The 18512-nt window shown below is 52.1% G+C and overlaps 1 long non-coding RNA gene and 1 pseudogene across 1 annotated transcript in view, besides 3 other annotated features; one reads left to right on the top strand and one right to left on the bottom strand.

Annotated features, from left to right (window-relative positions):
- The window catches only part of LOC105369333 (uncharacterized), a 36169-nt gene that overhangs the window by 15014 nt on the left and 2643 nt on the right, over positions 1-18512 (bottom strand). Inside the window, exons 2-4 of the long non-coding RNA XR_002957251.2 lie at positions 11619-11763; positions 10835-10988; positions 6540-6637 (exon numbers count right to left, since the gene is read on the bottom strand). This is a non-coding gene — a long non-coding RNA (uncharacterized LOC105369333). The remainder of the gene's footprint in view (positions 1-6539; positions 6638-10834; positions 10989-11618; positions 11764-18512) is intronic.
- Positions 5081-5333, top strand: RN7SL259P (RNA, 7SL, cytoplasmic 259, pseudogene; annotated as a pseudogene).
- Positions 6710-7218: an enhancer, noted in NCBI's record as "H3K4me1 hESC enhancer chr11:62701569-62702077 (GRCh37/hg19 assembly coordinates)". NCBI's record gives its function as "activates a minimal SCP1, AML or CMV promoter by ChIP-STARR-seq in primed H9 embryonic stem cells {active_cell/tissue: H9 hESC(primed)}" and the evidence as "EXISTENCE:reporter gene assay evidence [ECO:0000049][PMID:30033119]".
- Positions 15127-15892: an enhancer, noted in NCBI's record as "H3K27ac-H3K4me1 hESC enhancer chr11:62692895-62693660 (GRCh37/hg19 assembly coordinates)". NCBI's record gives its function as "activates a minimal SCP1, AML or CMV promoter by ChIP-STARR-seq in primed H9 embryonic stem cells {active_cell/tissue: H9 hESC(primed)}" and the evidence as "EXISTENCE:reporter gene assay evidence [ECO:0000049][PMID:30033119]".
- Positions 17271-17330: an enhancer, noted in NCBI's record as "active region_4868". NCBI's record gives its function as "activates an Ori minimal core promoter by ATAC-STARR-seq in GM12878 lymphoblastoid cells {active_cell/tissue: GM12878}" and the evidence as "EXISTENCE:reporter gene assay evidence [ECO:0000049][PMID:35858748]".

The raw sequence follows: 18512 nt of genomic DNA, 5'->3' as shown, positions 1-18512 counted from the left end.
TCAATAGCAATAGCTTAGAATCAATAATCTAGAAAATATTGTTTTGAAAAGTAAGACACCACTCAGAATAGCACCAAAAGATATATCTCATTAGGGAATTAACAAAGGACACCCTGTTAAATTTGTTTGCAGCTTTTCTTGATGCAAGAAGAAACAGAATTGAGAAGAGAGCTTGGAGATAGACATGTAAATATGTAAATTTGATTATATCAAAAAGGATTTCTGCTTACTGAAGGACACAATGGACAAATTTAACAGATAGATGACAGATTGAGAGGAGAGATTTGCAACTCTTTTTTTTTTTTTTTTTTTTTTTCGAGACAAGGTCTGGCTCTATTGCCCAGGGTGGAGTGTAGTGGTGCAATCTCGGCTCACGGCAACTTCCACCACCCGGGCTCAAGCCATCCTCCCACCTCTGCCTCCTGAGTAGCTGGGACTATAGGCGCTTACCACCACGCCCAGCTAATTTTTGTATTTTTTGTAGAGACAGGGTTTTGCCATGCTGCCCAGGCTGGTCTCAAACTCGTGAGCTCAAACGATCCACCCGTCTTGGCCTCCTGAAGTGCTGAGATTACAGGTATGAGCCTCTGCGCCTTTAACACTGACAAGACTCCTTCGACAAGAAAAAGAAAGGAACACTAGTAGTAGACACATGGGCAAAGAAAATGAATAGACATTTTACAGAGAAAGAAATCCAGAAGATTAATCACCACGTGAAAAATGAGATAGTGGCTGGGTGCGGTGGCTCACGCCTGTAATCCCGGCACTTTAGGAGGCTGAGGCGGGCGAATCACGAGGTCAAGAGATTGAGACCATCCTGGCCAACATAGTGAAACCGCATCTCTACTAAAAATACAAAAATTAGCTGGGCATGGTGGCACATGCCTGTAGTCCCAGCTACACAGGAGGCTGAGGCAGGAGAATCGCCTGAACCCGGGAGGCAGAGGTTGCAGTGAACCGAGATCGCACGACTGCACTCCAGCCTGGTGACAAAGCAAGACTCCATCTCAAAAAAAAAAAGAAAAAGAAAAAGAAAAATGAGATAGCACTTTACAGCCATTAAACTGGCAGCATTAGAAAGCCAGGTAATGGCAGGTGTTACAGGCCATGTTAGAATACAGGACCCCTATATCCTCACGTCTCAAATGCACTGCTGGTGGGAGTGAAATTGGTACCACCATTCTGGAAAGCAATTGGCAGCATTCACACCCACGAACACACACACACACACACACACACACACACACACACACCAGTAATTCCCTTCTTGGGCCTGTATCTCAGAGAACTTCTCACAAAGGCCCTTATGGAGACGTGTACAAGGACATTCACTGCAGTATTGTTTGAGGTCATGGGTGTTGGCAACAATCTAGATCCCCATAGCCGGGGGAATGAGTGTTTAGGTAAAATGTGGAGACCGGCACACCATGGCATAGTATGCAGCAGCAGGTAAACACCATAAAATCTCTTTAAAACAAAGTGCTGAATGGAATGAAAAATAGAATAAGATCTATTGCCTATACCACTTAGGCAAATTAAAATATTTGCACACAAAACAATATACATTTTTTTTTTGAGACGGAGTCTTGCTGGTTGCCCAGGCTGGAGTGCAGTAGCGTGATCTCGGTTCACTGCAACCTCTGCCCCCCAGGTTCAAGTGATTCTCCTGCCTCAGCCTCCTGAGTAGCTGGGATTACAGGCACACACCACCATACCCAGCTAATTTTTGTATTTTTAGTAGAGACGGGGTTTCACCATGTTAGCCAGGCTGGTCTCGAACTCCTGACCTCAAGTGTTCCGCCCATCTCGGCCTCCCAAAGTGCTGGGATTACAGGCATGAGCCACCGAGCCCAGCCAACAGTACACATTTTACAAGAACATATACAAATAAAAGAGTGCACATCAAACACAAGACACTAGTTGACTTTGGCAGGAAGGGAATTAGAAGTGGGTAATGGTGATAAAGGGGAATAAACATTAAAGGGTAAAACAAGGGGCCATTGCAAAGACAAAAATAGAGGGTCATGAAATGAGGAGTATGATTAATTCAACCCTCTGCACCTGACGTTAAAAGAGAACTGCAGAGAAGGAACCATCAGATAGCTAGTTTAGATAAAATGATCAGAGCAATCAGGAAAGTCTCCTCAGTAAAGATCAAAAGTAAAAACCAAGTTAAAGATCAAGTCTGGGCTGGGCACGGTGGCTGACATCTGTAATCCCAGCACTTTGGGAGGCCGAGACAGGCAGATCACTTCAGTCCAGGAGTTTGAGACCAGCCCGGCCAACATGTCAAAACCCCGTCTCTACTAAAAATACGAAAATTAGCCAGGCATGGCGGCGGGTGCCTGTAATCCCAGCTACATGGGAGGCTGAGGCAGGGAGAATTGCTTGAACCCAGGAGGTGCAGGTTGCAGTGAGCCGAGATCGCACCACTGCACTCCAGCCTGGGTGACAGAGCAAGCCGTCGACTCCCAAAAAAAAAGACCAAGTCTGATGGTTTTAATGTGTAAACAAAGGGACAGGGCACAAGATAAGAGAAGAGGCAGGCAGAGACCAGTCATATAAGGACTTATAAGAAGGTCAGATTGGCCGGGCGTGGTGGCTTATGCCTGTAATCCCAGCACTTTGGGAGGCTGAGGTGGGTGGATCACTTGAGGTCAGGAGTTCAAGACCAGCCTGACCAGTATGGTGAAACCCTGTCTCTACTAAAAATACAAAAATTGGCTGGGCATGGGGGCTCACGCCTGTAATCCCAGCACTTTGGGAGGCCAAGGCGGGCAGATCACGAGGTCAGGAGATCGAGACCATCCTGGCTAACACGGTGAAACCCCATCTCTACTAAAAATACAAAAAAAAATTAGCCAGGCGTAGTGGTGGGCACCTATAGTCCCAGCTACTCAGGAGGCTGAGGCAGGAGAATGGTGTGAACCCAGAAGGCGGAGCTTGCAGTGAGCTGAGATCACACCACTGCACTCCAGCCTGGGCAACAGAGCGAGACTTCATCTCAAAAAAAAAAAAAAAAATTAGCCAGGCATGGTGGCGCATGCCTGTAATCCCAGCTACTCGGGAGGCTGAGGCAGGAGAATTGCATGAACCCAGGAGATGGAGGTTGCAGTGAGCCAAGATCACACCACTGCACTCCAACCTGGGTGACAAAGCAAGACTCCATCTCAAAAAAAAAAAAAAGAAGGTCAGATTGTATTCTAGTAATACAATGGGACATCACTGGATGGTTTTAAGCAGAGGGTGAAATGATCTGAATTATGGTTTTAATTTTTAAGAGAACACTTTGGCTTCTGCATAGAGAATGGGGTGGGGCCAGGGAGTCAGGGTCAAGGCCAACAGTAGAAATGGGAAGAACTGTCAGGAGGCTACTGCAATAGTACAGGCAAGAGGTGAAAATCACTTGAAGTGACATGTTTGTGTTAGTTGATTTTCATGCTGCTGATAAAGACATAGCCAAGACTGGGCAATTTACAAAAGAAAGAGGTTTAATGGACTTACAGTTACACATGGCTGGGGAGGCCTCATAATCATCGTGGAAGGCAAGGAAGAGCAAGTCATGTCTTACATGGATGACAGCAGTCAAAAAGAGAGCTTGTGCAGGGAAACTCATGTTTTTAAAACCATCAGATCTGGTAAGGCTTATTCACTCTCATAAAGACAGCACAGGAAAGACCCGCCCCCATGATTCAATTACCTCCCACTGGGTTCCTCCCATGACACATGGGAATTATGAGAGTTACAATTCAAGATGAGATTTGGGTGGGGACATACCCAAACCATATCAGTGGTGGACAGAGGTTGTAGAGATAGAGAGAAGGGAACTAACCCTGTGTGAGTTTGGGAGGAACAGCTATCCAAATTTCTATTTTGGATGTAGAAAAATAAGGGAACAGGAGGCATCAAGGATAATTCCTAGATACTTGAGCTTGAGCAAGTAGGTGGTTAGAAGTGCCATTTACTAAGATGGGGAAGTCTGGGGGAGGAGCAAGCTTGGAGGAAGAAATAAAGAGTTCCTTGACCATATAAAATTTGAGAGGCCTTTTAGACATCCAAATGAAGATGTAGAGTAGCTTGATATGTAGCCTGGAGCTGGAGAGACAGGTTGGTTGAGAATTTGTTCACAGTCACACAGTAAATTCAGATTAGAACTGGAACCTAGACTTCTCAGGTCCAAAATCATTTGCTCCCCCTTTCGTTTTAGCTAAATTAAATGCAATCATTTGACCCTGTAGCAAATGTGAAAAGAGGAAGCCAGGGTGGCAGGCAGTGTAAGGGCACCCACAAGTCCCACGGTCCTCACCAAGGTGCTCCTCCTTCCCATAGGCAGAGGGGTCTGAGCATGACAACAACTGTGACCAATGGTGGCACCATCCTAAGCCTACTGGTGGACATGGCTGCTGAGTTCTACCCTTCTCTGCCTCTATTTATCTATAGTGTGGTCCCTGTGGCTGCCAGTATCATCACTGTCCTCCTGCCAGAGACCCTTGGCCAGCCACTGCCCAACATGGTGAAAAGGTGAAGGACCTGGAGAGAAGGTGGGCTGCACCCTCCCCCAAGCTTCTTTTGTCATAAAAGGCCAGACCACAGGAGAGCAGGGACTTAGCCAGGGTCATGCAGCTGGTCCCTGATGGAGTCAAGGCTGAAATCCAGGCCCCCTGAATCCTATTCTCACACATTGGCTGAGTCCCAGGAAACCTCCCTGAGACTCTCAGCTCTTGGAAATAGTGGGTGGCTTTGGATATAAAGTAGGACAACTGAGCACAGACACCTAAAAAGAAACCCCCAACTCTACTCCTGAACGCTGCTTCTCCTTCCCTCCCAGGTGGAAAGAGAAACTGGGGCAGCAGCAACAGGAACAGCAGATGGTCCCACTCCAAGCCTCCTGAGGACTGAGAAGGAGCAGAGGGTGGAGAGGAGGAGCCCTGTATCTCTTGGATATCCATGCCAGGAGGTGGATGCAGAAATGGCAGCCAGTAGAGGGCAGGGCCTGTAAGGTCTCAGAGAAATGCTTCCCATGGGCCCTACACTCCTGGCCAGACCCACCCAAGACCACTTTATTAAAAGTAACTATGGAGCCAGGCCTCTAGTCCCAGCTACTTGGGAGGCTGAGACAGGAGGATCTCTTGGGCCCAGGAGTTCTAAGCACTATGCTGATGGGGTGTCTGCACTAAGCTCGGCATGATGACCTCCTCCAAGCAGGGGACCACCAGGTTGCCTAAGGAGGGATGAACTGCCCCAGGTCAGAAACAGAGCTGATCAGTAGTGGGATCACACCTGTGAACAGCCACTGCTCTCCAGCATGGGCAGCACAGCAAGACCCTGTCTCTTAAAAAAAAAAAAAAATGCACAATTTATCCCATTGTTCCCCTCCGGCCCATACATAGTGGCCACTTCACATTAGTCAACCTTTGGTTCAAAATGTCCTTCAGTGATTATCTATGTAGAAAATCCAGTGGAATCTACAAAAATACTGCTACAACTAAAACATGATTTTAGCAAGGTTGCAGGTTATAAGATCAATATAAAAAAGGAATTGTGGGCAGGCACGGTGGCTCACGCCTGTAATCCCAGCACTTTGGGAGGCTGAGGTGGGCAGATCATGAGGTCAGGAGTTCAAGACCAGCCTGGCCAATATGGTGAAACTCCATCTCTACTAAAAATACAAAAATTAGCGAGGCATGGTGGCTCACGCCTGTAGTCCCAGCTGCTCGGGAGGCTGAGGCAGAAGAATCGCTTGAACCCAGGAGGCAAAGGTTGCAGTGAGCCGAGATCACACCACTGCACTCCAGCTTGGGTGGCAGAGTGAGACTCCATCTCAAAAAAAACAAAACAAAAAGAATTGTGGCCAGGCGCAGTAGCTCATGCCTGTAATCCCAGCACTTTGGAAGGCCAAGGTGGATGAATCACCTGAGATCAGGAGTTCGAGACCAGCCTAGCCAACATGGTGAAACCCCGTCTCTACTAAAAATACAAAAATTAGCTGGGTGTGGTGGCGCATGCCTGTAATCCCAGCTACTCAGGAGGCCGAGGCACAAGAATCACTCGAACCCGGGAGGCGGAGGTTGTGGTGAGCCAAGATCACACCACTGCACTGCATCCTAGGCAACAGAGTGAGACTCCGTCTCAAAAAAAAAAAAAAATTGTGTTTCTATATACTAGCAATAAACAATCAGAAATTGAAATTTAAAAAACAATGCCATTTACAATAGCATCAAAAAATATAAGGAGACAGCAAAAAGATCAGTGGTTGCCAGGGGTTCAGAGGGAGAGGAGAGAGATGAGCAAGCCAGCACGAGGGATTTTTTAGGGCACTGAAACTATTCTTTATGGTACTATAATGGTAGATACATGACATTATACATATCAAAACCCTCAATAACCTATAAGGTAAGTAATAGCATTATCCTCAAGGTGAGGAAGGCTAGGAGATACACTTGAACCTGGAGAGTTGGCTTGGCAGAATTCAGGGATGTGTATACACACACACACACACACACACACACAGACACACACACACACCCCTTACTCCTTACCTTTCTTGCCATTTTCTCTGCTCCCTTAAAGGTTTTCTTTTGGTGATAGAGAAAAACGTTATGTGTCTTTGCTCCTCCTCCTCCCACTTCAGTCTTTCCTGGAAGGGTAAAAGGAACTAAAATGAAGGCAGCCAATAAGGAGGCTTTGTTTGAGGCTCTTCCCCTCCCTGAGGCAGGTGCAAACATCTGGAAACAGGAGGTAAGAAGAAAGGAGAGAAGAATGCAGAGGGAGGGGGCAATAGCCCCTCCTCCCTAGGCCAGATCCTGGCTGCAGGAGCAGTTTGCCACCTTACATCTGGGCCTTTGCCCAGGAAGTTCAACCCCCCAGCTAACCTTAGCTTTTCTGTTGCACTTTTGGACTTTTCTGTAGCACTTCTGGACTTTTCGGTAATCTGCCTCTAGAGAGCCCTAGGCTGGCAGTAGTGAGGCCCCAGAAGGAAAAACAGCCGGGAGAGTGCCTGAGGTCTGATCTCCTCCATCCTCCATCCTCAGGTCTTGCCTCCTCCCCAACCCCTCCCTGCCCTTCCTGGGCTGGTAGGAGCCAGTGCTGATGGCACTGGGGAGACCACATGAGCAGGATGAAGGACAGCCACGATGTGCAGTCCAGGACAGAACCCAGGATGCCCAGTGCCTGTTCTGCTGCTCACATCAGGAAGGACCTGAGGGTGCAGGCCATGAGGTGCTCTGGCAGGGACTGCAGAGTGGCCAGAGTGGGGTGGGATGCAAGCTGTGGCTGCCCAGCGCAACAGTTAACCATTCATCAGGTCCATCTGCCCACCCAAGGCCTGCTCTGGGCTAATGAGACCCTGCCCTGGTCCTAGGAGCCTGACTCCAGCCACATCCAGAGACAGGCATGCACTGTCCCAGCCCCAAGGAGAGGAGGAAGAGGGCTGGCATGACCCACACCTGGCCCTGCAGGGGAAGGGGGCAACCATGCTAAGGCTAACCCAACACACAGGTACTGGACAGGTGCTAGATTCAGTCTCCAGACCCACCCCGCTTCCTTGCCCTGATCCCATCTCCTAGCCTTGGCCTGACAACCCCCAATCTACCAGCCCAGCCTTCAGAACCTAAACGTGGCTCTGACCCACCCCCCAACCCCCCACCTCTCGGCCTTGGTGCTGCCCCTGAGACCCTATTGCCAGGGTCAATCTAGAGGCCTCATTCCCCCGGTCCTGCCTCAGCTGAGAATGCAAGGATCTGAACGGCCTTCTCTCTCAGCTTCTCCACCTGCTGCAGGTGGCTTCCTGATCGGATGGCTGATTCAGGGCAGTCCTCAACGTGAGCCAGGTGAGTGCCCTTTCCTCCACGTGGCCCCACCCCTGTCCCTGATGCCCCGCCCTTCCCTGGTTTTTAACTGCCTCTCAGCCAAACTTGCACCACCACCAAGCACAGAGTTTCTGTCCATTACCTCACCAAGACTCGCTAATACAGGCGGGGCGCGGTGCCTCACGCCTGTAATCCCAGCACTTTGGGAAGCCGAGGTGGGTGGATCACGGGGTCAGAAGATCGAGACCATCCTGGCTAACATGGTGAAACCCCATCTCTACTAAAAATATAAAAAATTAGCCAGGCATGGTGGCGGGCACCTGTAGTCCCAGCTACTCGGGAGGCTGAGGCAGGAGAATGGCATGAACCCGGGAGGCGGAGCTTGCAGTGAGCCAAGATCACACCACTGTACTCCAGCCTGGGAGACAGAGCAAGACTCAGTCTCAAAGAAAAAAAAGACTCGCTATTACAATTTCACACACCAGAAACGTCTTGTCCAGCCCACTGCCATCCCCTGGGCCAGGCTTCTCCACCTAATTTCTTCCTGGCCCATTGTTTGGTGTCCCTGTCCAGTCCATCCTCCCATGACCCCAGAAGGATCTTGAGTCACTGGCCTGCCATCTAGGGCCAAGACTAGCGTAGAGTGAGTGAAGCAGTGAAGCAATGGACTTACCTCTCCTGTCTGAGCCCTGCATGATCCAGTCTCTTTTTTTTGAGTCGGAGTTTCGCTCTTTCACCCAGGCTGGAGCCAAGTGGCACCATCTCGGCTCACTGCAACCTCTGCCCCCGCTCCCCCCACACCCAGGGTTCAAGCAATCCTCCTGCCTCAGCCTCCTGAGTAGCTGGGATTACAGGCACCTGCCACCACGCCCAGCTGATTCTTTTCTATTTTTAGTAGAGATGGGGTTTCACCATGTTGGCCAAGCTGGTCTCAAACTCCTGACTTTGTATCTGCCCACCGCAGCCTCCCAAAGTGCTGGGATTACAGGCATGAGCCACCACGCCTGGCCCTGATCCAGTCTTTAATTGAAAGTTTGATATTTTATTCATCATGAACTTTTGCATTAATTTTGATTTTTAAAATACTACATTAAAATATTATTCATCATAATTGTTGAGTTTTTTAGCACCCTCTTAAATTTGCACCTCACCCCACCCTAGTCCCAACCCTGCCCTGCACACATACCTTCCTCGGCTGCCCACTGCTTAAGGGACATTCAGTGACTTTTATGAATGGCTAGGGCCAGGCTCTCTGGGCTCCTCTCTATGTGCCCACTGCCCCAACTCCCAAACCTTTGCATGATCTCTATCATAATCTTTATCTTGTAGAATCCTGATGGTTTGTTTACTATTACCTAGCCAAAGATAACACTAGCACAAAGTCCTTGAGGCAGGAAAGTGCTTGGTAGGTTCTTGGAACCGCAAGGCCAGTGTGGCTGGGGCAGAGCAGTGAGGAGTCAGTGGTAGGAAACGAGGCTCAGGAGGAAGCAGGAGCTGCTCCTGTGGGAACTGACGCTTTATTCTGAGAAAGCTGGAGAGTCGTTAGAGCATTTTGAACAGAGGAGAGACATGATGTAACTTACATATCAAAAGGGCCTGAGACAGTAATCCAGGTGAGAGACAACACTAGCAAAATCACAGTGGTTGCACTCCGGATGTATTTAAGGAAAAGACAAGAGGATTTTCTAATGGATTAGATTTGGCATGTGAGAGAAAGAACAGAGTCAAGGGTGACTCCAAGGTTTTTGGCCTGAGCTACTGAAAGGACAGGGTTGCCACCTGCTGAGATGGGCAAGGCTGCGGATAGAGCATGTTTGGGGTTTGGGATGAGTCATGACTGAGATGATTCTACACATCCAAATGGAGCTGGCAGGCAGCACTAATGACAGTGGTAATAATAAGCATAGCTCCAGCCGTAGAGCTCACTCTGAGCCAAGCATTTTTCTAACACTTTCCACGTCTAAACTCATTTAATCCTCATCATGGCCCTAGGATGTAGAGCTATTATGATTCCCATTTTACAGATGAGGAAATATTGGATAGACAAGACTGGTGTTCAGAAGAGAGCCTGGGCTAGACATATACATTTGGGAGTCATCAGTGTGTGGGTGGCATAAGCTCACCTGGAAAGTGGGTATGAAGGTCCAAAGACTGAGCCCAGACGGGCGTGGTGGCTCACACTTGTAATCCCAGCACTTTGGGAGCCTGAGGCGGGTGGATCACCTGAGGTCAGGAGTTCAAGACCAGCCTGGCCAACATGGCAAAACCCCATCTCTACTAAAAATACAAAAATTAGCCAGGTGTGGTGGTGCATGCCTGTAATCCCAGCTACTCAGGAAGCTGAGGCAGGAAGAATTGCTTGAACCCGGGAGGTGGAGGTTGCAGTGAGCAGAGATCATGCCACTGTACTCCAGCCTGGGCGACAGAGCAAGACTTCGACTCAAAAAAAAAAAAAATGCTGAGCCCAGACACTCCAAAGTTCAGAGCAGGATGGTGAGGAACATCAGCAAAGGAGAATGTGGAACAACAGCCAGGGGAGTAGGAAGAGACCCAAGACGGGGTGTCCCCAGAGGCTGAGCACAGCAAGGATTTCTAGAAGGAGGAGGTGCTGAAGAAAAAGCATTTTGGAAACTGCACATTGAGATCATGATATGAGGAGACAATTTTGGGTTGGGCACTGGCCACTAACATCTGGAAACTGGAGGCAAGAAGAAAAAAGAGAAGAACACAGAGGCAGGGGCAATAGCCCCTCCTCCCTAGGAGGGAGCCTTTGGCAAATTACAGGGCCTCAGCTTCCCCATCTGTAAAATGGTTCTTTAGAGATTCCCCAGCTAGGACACCCTGTGGCAGGCCCTATCCTCAGCACCATCTCAGGACTGAACCAAGCTGAACCAGGCTTACCACCCCCATCCCTCTCCTGTCTTCTCCTTACCCTGCCCTTGGCCCCAACCCCCGCCTCCCACCATTTATCTCATTAGCATTTTCTGTTCATAATCTGTAATTTTGCCTCTAAGGGGTTCCCTTACCTTGAACCAGGCTTGGGGGTTGGAGGCAGTGTTACTCTAAATAGTTGTCCTCAACTCCTGAGATTCACCCCTCACTCAGCCAGGGTGCTCAATTGCTCTCCTCTGGCCCAGGCCCCTGGCTCAGGCCCAAAAACCAAGTCGGTTGCAGCTGCAGCTGGAGAGAGGAAAGAGGCTGCCTATTAACCCCCTAGAACCCAGAATCTCAGAAACTGCTCTGGAGAGGAAGGCTGGACGCCACGGGTGGGCAGTGGGACTAGGGCTTGGAGCTGCAGATTAAGGTGCAGGAGCCTGGAGCTGGGAACCAGGAGACTTGGGGCTAGAGGCCTCATGTAGGGGATAGGGAATGAGGTCTGTTGATTGAGGGCTAAAGAGGGAGGCTTGAAGCTGAGCCTAGGAAATTTGGGACTAGGGCCTGGGATTAGGAACCAGAAAACCACATACTGGGGCTGAGGGTAGCTGTCACACTGACCCTACCAGAAGAGCCCAGACAGTGCCCCTCAGGTCCTCTGGGAACTGGAAAGGACCAGGGAAGGGGCAGCGGGATGAAGTTGAGCCCTCTAGGGGGCTGAGCCAGGGAGGTCATATGAAGCCGGGCACAGGAAGGGCTCCCTAAAGAGAGTACAGTAAGGGATCCAGAGGTGGGCAGTGTCCGGGAAAGGCTGGGGCTAGGGAAAAGAATCCTTCAAGGGGGCAGGAGTAGAGGCCGAATGGGTGACGGGTGGTGCCTAAAACTATCACATCAGAGCTGGAGGTTTTCTAGATAAGCCAGTCCAGAGTGACCCACCTGTGTTCCTCAGAAGCCAGTCCTACGAGACGCTCCATGTAAAAAAAGATCCTGTGGAGAAATAAGTTTGGGAAATGCTGATCGTTCTCTTTGCCTCTCAGAGACTCTCAACACATGTTTGCCATTTATTTGCTCGGAGAGGTTCCTGCAGTAAAGAAAGCCTAATTAATTTCCCATTTCATCACAGAGGACTTTTTAAAAAAATAAATAAATAACATCCACTAACTTCCACAAAATAGACTGAGGAACACTGGGCTAGCCTGAGTTCCCATTTTACTTTCAGAGAAACTGAAGCTCAGAGAACGGAGGGATCTGCCAGGCCACAGAACAGAGTCAAGCCCCAGGTGTCCCATCTTCAAGGAACATCAGAGCTGGGAGAGCCCACTGAGGCTACCAGGTCCGACTTTGCCTCCATCTCCACTCCAAGTACAGAATAGACTGAGGGTGAGAGAGAGGCCATGACTCCTTCTACAAGGCGCTAGACAGGGCCCCGCGACTTGACTCAGTCTGGCGCCCTGACATACCACACAACCTCCAAAACCAGATCACCCTTCCTGGGCAGGCCTGCACCCTCTGCATAGGGCCAGCGTCTACTGACCATCCTTCTACCTTCCCTCACCTTTTTATCCTGTTCCTGGGAAATGCATGGGCTCCACTGTGCCCTAATACCTTTCCCAAAATCATTTTGTCTCCCCAACAAGCTCATAAGCCCCATGGTTTCTGGGCCCTGGTTTCTCCTGTTCCCTTCCCAGTGTTGAACACAGTGCTGGGCATAGACTCCAGTCTGAACCCTTAGGATGGAGCTTCATTACCAATCTGGAGGAGGCAGGACATGCTATGGGCTGCACTGTGTGGTTTTTAAACTAGTGAAACTCTGGTGACCTGTCCCCTGAATGCAGGGCAAGGGAACAAAGGGTCCCCATAAGGAGGGCTACAGCTGGGGCTGGGCTTTTATTCATGTGTTCCTTCAGGCTAGGCTGTTATAACAAGAAAACTAGAGCAGAATGGGCATGTGCTCAAGAGAGAAGTCGTTCACGCCTGGGGGAAAGACACAGGGATACAAGTGAGGAGGCTTGGGCCCAAACAGAGTTGTCCCCCACCATCCAAACCCCAGACGGACACAGCCCTGCTTCTCCCTCTCTCCCTGCATTGCTACCATTTCCTGTTGAGAGGTTGCCCTTTGGGAAAAGCCTTCCTTCCTCCTTCCTTCATTCCTTCCTTCCTTGGACAAGGTCTGGAGCTGAGACACGCCCAGCCCCACTATCTCTGTGGAAAGGGGGCGGGGGCAAGTAGGACAGGGAAGGTTGTCTACATGCACCCTATACCCTCTGGCCGGGCACTGCTCATTCTCGGTCTCCTCGAGGGGCTTCTTGCAAACCCCCAAGATCCCCAGGGAGCGGAAACTCTAGGCGGCAGGCCCCTCTCCCTGCCCTGGCCTCCAGCTGCAGAGCTCAGGTCCTAACTCGATTGTGCACCGTTAATCACTGCGTGTGCCTGCCGGCAGAGTAAACAGGTGGCCTCAGAGATCCTCTCATTCTCATCAATCTCTGCCCCCGTCAGACCTCCGTCAGCAATGGGACTGGCAAGAGGCGCCAAGGGGGCGGGGAAGGGGGGCTGTGGGGCCAAGGTCATGTCAGGTCCTAACAAAAAGGCTGATTGCCCCACAGTGGGAGCCAGAAGAGGAGAAGGAGGCAGGAGATGATGTGGATACATCGCCATTGACATTTGGGGAATCTTTAGGATAGGGGCAAAAGCAATGATTGGAAGTCAACTAGTCTGGCTCTGGCATGTACTAGCTGTGTGACCTTGGACAGGTTACAGAACCTCTTGGTGCCTCGGTTTCTTCATCTGTAAAATAGGAATAATAATTCTACCTGCTTCGTCAAGTTATTACGAAAATTAAATGAGTTAAAACGTAAAACACTGAGAGGGTGACAGCACATTGCTGGTGCTATGCAAGTGTTTGTTAATATAATGGGACCACAAAATGAAGCACTGCAGGAGACATCGATTTAGCAATTTCCCAGGAAACTCCCTCTTACAGATAGCAGACAGTGTTCTCAGGCTCCAAGCTGGGGGCAAAACCTGCAAACTGGGAAGGGGTTAAGAGGGCAGATTGTTACCTAACCTCCCTTCGTGGGGCAGTCGTGAAGATTAAATGAGAAAGTGCACGCAAAGATGTTATGAATGCGGTAGCCAGGAGCAAGCCCTCAATAAAGGGCAGCCAGCTCCTATCGCCTTCCTAGCGTTAGCTCTGCACAACCCCTTACCCACCCCGCGCCAACAAAAGGCCTGCACTGGGGCATGAAGGGGATATAAGTGCTGTTATTCCTCTCCCTGAGAAAGAGAGTGGGCGCTTGGCACCGGGCCCCCCTCCCAGCCCAGGCACTCTAGCCCGTCGCCCGGCCCCTCCTAGGTACGGAGCTGGGTGGGCCCCTAGGGGCCGCGGCAGGGGCGCGGAGGGTCATGGGCGTCACCGAAGCGGCCCCGGGCGGCGGTGACTGAGGTGGAGAACCCCTGCGAGCCAATAAACAAAGGGTAGGGTAAAGGGCAGCCCCCGACCCACCGACGTACTTGCGGCGCCTGCCTAGGGGTGAGGGTCTCGCGAAGACGCGAGTACATTTGACACTGAGGGGACATTTAGGATCGCGGCAAAAGCAATGATTGGAATTCTACTGGCCTGACTCTGGCACCTACTAGCTGTGTGACCTTGGACAGGTTACTGAACCTCTCGGTGCGTACTTGCGGCGCCTGCAAGTGTCTCAGGAGAGGAACCGGGCTGAGGCTCCACTCCCCCGGCGCCTTCCCACCCACCCTTCGTCATCGTGGGCTTCAAGCTTTGGCCTCCGCCTCGGGGGGTGGTGGGGGGGAGACTCGAGGACTCGGCGTCCAGGGAACTGGGAGAGGAAGCCAGCAAGGGAAGGAAGGGTGAAACTTCGCCGGGCTGGGAGCACGGGGACCCTGAAATCCGCACTGCCTCACCCGGGTCACGACCCTGGACGAGCGGATTCCACTGTACAGAGTTGGGGGTTGCCTTGAGACCTGGACCTGTTCTGACCCCAAATTCCCGTCCGAAGCTCCGCCGGGCTCCAGCAGTTTCACGTGGGACCTACACCCGCCTGGGCCCGGGCGCGTACACCCTGTGGCGGAAAGCTGAGGAGCCCAATGTCCGCAGACCCAGCGAAGCAGGGTCGACGCCGTGAATCAGGTGTTTCGAGAAGCGAGGGGCGCGAGCTTCCATAGTGCGGGGGAAGGTGCCTGCTTCCTGCGTCGGGGCCGCACTTTCACGGTACATCCAACTCCAAGGCGGCAACCAGTGGCCTGGACTTCCAGGTTGTGTCCTCATAGGCGGGGACAGAGGACGCTTAGGGATGCCCTGTGGGAACGCAGCTCCTCTCCACGGCCCGGTCCAGCGGGGAGTCCGAAACGCCACGTTGCGTTATCTCAGTTCCCAGCATTCACTACCCCTGGCAGGACCCCGGGCGCCGAGTCAACTCAGCGGAGTCTCCGGCCGGGCTATAAGGACCCGGGAACGGCAGGAAAACACGCGAGGCGCCGCTTTCGCGACCGCCCCAAACCCATCTTTTCTTCGGGAACTGCCCGCAAGACTTGGGGCTGGGGAGTGGAGCTGCTTCTCCGCACTCCCACTGCCCTCCGGAGCCCAGCACGTAGCCGGGCAGGAAAGGTGAAGCGTCTACAAGGCCTCAATTTCGAAACCGGACTCGGAAAATCCCGATTTCCTGTCCCAATAAGATGCCTTTATTGTGGCCGCGTCCGCTCTCGCCTCGGACGGCGGGGACTCTGGGGGCCCCTTACTGGGCCTGCTCTATACGCAGCCCCGCCCTGGATTTGAGTTTCTTGTTTTACATCTGGGAATTAGTCTCTCCAGGAGTCCTGGCGGGAGGGAGTGGGGGGAGAGAGGAAGTTGAGGACCTAAGGCCATTGAAGGTGAAGATGCGAGGAGGGGCGCCCTTAGGCCGACCCGCTGCCTCCCACCCGGACTCAGAATGTGTGCCCCAGGACAGAGGAAGCGGCACTGTAAAAGTGGCACATTTAGCTGGGTTTGAGTTTCTGACACGGATTAAAACCAAGGGCGGAGACTTACACTCCGGGTCTGCAGCGCACTCCCGGAGCCTGCTCATTCATTCCTCCACCCACCTGCGGCCTTGCCGGACCCTGGGAATCTTAAAAATGCTGTCCCACAGTCCCTGCCGTCTCTGGAACTGCAGCAGGTGCTCAGCCCCAGGATGGCTCCAGGCGCACTGACCTCATCCTCCATGAAACCACAGGGACCCACGCCTCTTGTAAATCTACTCATCTGTAAAATGGGAATAATGGAACCTCCCTCATAGAGTTGTGAAAGTAAATTAAAGAATATAGGCCGGGCGCTGTGGCTCACGCGTGTAATCCCAGCACTTTGGGAGGCCGAGGCGGGTGGATCAGGAGGTCAGCATATCAAGACTATCCTGGCTAACAAGGTGAAACCCCGTCTCTACTAAAAATACAAAAAATTAGCAGGGCGTGGTGGCATGCGCCCGTGGTCCCAGCTACTCGGGAGGCTGAGGCGGGAGAGTCGCTTGAACCCGGGAGGCAGAGGTTGCAGTGAGCCGAGATCGCACCACTGCACTCCAGCCTGGAGGAAAGAGCGAGACTCCGTCTCAAAAAAAACAATAAAATAAAATAAAATAATAAGAATATAGAGGCCGGGCGGATGCGGTGACTCACGCCTGTAATCCCAGCACTTTGGGAGGCCAAGGTGGGTGGATTATTTGAGGTCAGGAGTTCGAGACCAGCCTGGCCAACATAGCGAAACCCCGTCTCTACTAAAAATACAAAAATTAGCTGGGCGGTAGTGGCGCGCGCCTGTAATCCCATCTACTCGGGAGGCTGAGGCAGGAGAATCCCTTGAGCCTGGGAGGCGGAGGTTGCCGGTAAGCCGAGATCACGCCACTGTACTACAGCTTGGGCGACAGAGTGAGACCCTGTCTCACAAATATATATATATATATATATATATATATATATATAGAGAGAGAGAGAGAGAGAGAGAGAGAGAGAGAGAGAGAGCACTTAGCAGTTCCTGACACATAGTAAGTGCTCAATAAGTGTTATAAAAAAGAACTGCCGGACGCGGTGGCTCAGTAATCCCAGCACTTTAGAAAGCTGAGGGGGGCGGAGGCGGGCGGATCACTTCAGCTCAGGAGTTCAAGACCAGCCTGGCCAACATGGTGAAACCCTGTCAATAAAAAATTTAAAAAAAAAAAAAAAAAAAAAAAAAGCCAGTGGGGTGGCGCGCGCCTGTAGTCCCAGCTACTCAGAGTGGGTGAGGGGGTAGGGCTGCGGTGGGAGGATCGCTTGAGCCCGGCAGGCAATTGCAGTGAGCTCTGATCGCGCCACTGCACTCCAGCTTGGCCAAGAGACCGAAACCCTGTATTAAAAAAAAAAAAAAAAACCGCAGTGATGGCTTTCACTTTTTGCAGACGCACGTGCCACGTTTTACCTGCAGAAGCTCAACTAACCCGTCAAACAGCCTGGTCGGGGAGGTATTTCTACCCTTCTTGTCACTGATGAAGAAACTGAGACCTAGAGAGGGGGCCTAGCTTGCTCAGGCCGCTTCAACTAGAAAAAGGCCAAGCTGAATTCGCATTCAGGGCACTCTCCTCTTGCACAGTAAGGGGGCCGAGACTGGGGCCGAGCCGCGCAAGGGCGACTCCACGTTCCCTTGGTGGCCTGGAGGACTGAATTCTCGACCAGGCGACCAAAAATAACAACCAGCAGGAGCCGAGACCCGAGAGTCAGACCCCACCCAACCCAGCCAGAAATGAGGGAGAACTGGAGGGGGTCGCGCGGGGGCGGGGCCAAAGCCCCACGTGCGCCGCCTGCAGCCGCTTCAAGAAGCCCTTTGTCGCGAGCAGCCGCGTTCGTGCCGCACTCGGAGGCTTAAAATAAAGACAATGTTCCCAGCCTCCCTGCGGCTAAATCGGGCGCGAGTGCGGGGGTGGTGAGCGAGCCGGGCGGGAGCGCTTCTCCAGGCCGTACCTCTCTTCTCCCCTCCTGCCTCAGTTTCCCCATCTGATAAGGGTGAGCTAGCCAAGTCTGGGCGGGGACGTCAGAAGAGTGATACAGTGGTGGGGGTGGCGGGGGGCGTCATCCCCCTGCGTCCGCGACTGCACAGACTTCAGAAGAAAGCCGCGTGGGACAGAGGGGGGCACTCAGGAGGAGGCAGGGGAAAGCTGGACACCCTCCCCACCCGCCCACAAAATAAGTGTTTTTATTTCTAAAGGGACGTGTGCAGAGGCGGTGGGAGAAGAGAAAAGGGAGACCAAGGAGACTGGGGGGAGGTGGCAAAGAGGGAGCCTGATTCAGATTCGGAAATGGATGTTGAGCGTGGAGGCCTAACACCCCCACACTCAGCCACGTGTACGCGCACAAGTACACGCAGCCCCACCGCGCCGCCCAAGCCGCAGCCGCAAACCCAGGGCAGCCCAGCAGGGGGCATCCCGAGTCCGCGCCCAAGGGTAGGGACTGGTCAAGTTCTGACCCAACCCTGACCGGCTGGGTGACCCTGGGATGGAAAGGGGATGCTCACTTAGATTTCTCTCCAAGCTGCAGCGTCTGCTTGACTTCAGCAGGGAGGAGGACTGGGTGCCTGCTGGAACCCCAGCTGGCTTTGAGAAGCACAGATGCCCCCACATGTACCTGCCACGTGTGCCCACCAGTAGCTGCTGACCAAACCCCAGGAACTCCAGTTTCAGCTCCACTTGGCTCCATTGGCCAACTGGGCTCCTGGGTGAGAAAGCCCCAGGTTACCCTCAGGCACCAGCATTGGCGGGGTTGTGGGGGCGGGGGGCGGCGCTTGGTGGGGAAATGAGTAGGGGAAACCCCTGCCCCAGA

This window comes from Homo sapiens, chromosome 11 (genome assembly GCF_000001405.40).
Source record: "Homo sapiens chromosome 11, GRCh38.p14 Primary Assembly".
In the NCBI taxonomy this organism is placed as follows: Eukaryota; Metazoa; Chordata; class Mammalia; order Primates; family Hominidae; genus Homo; species Homo sapiens.
This window is presented reverse-complemented; position numbering and strand designations above follow the sequence as displayed.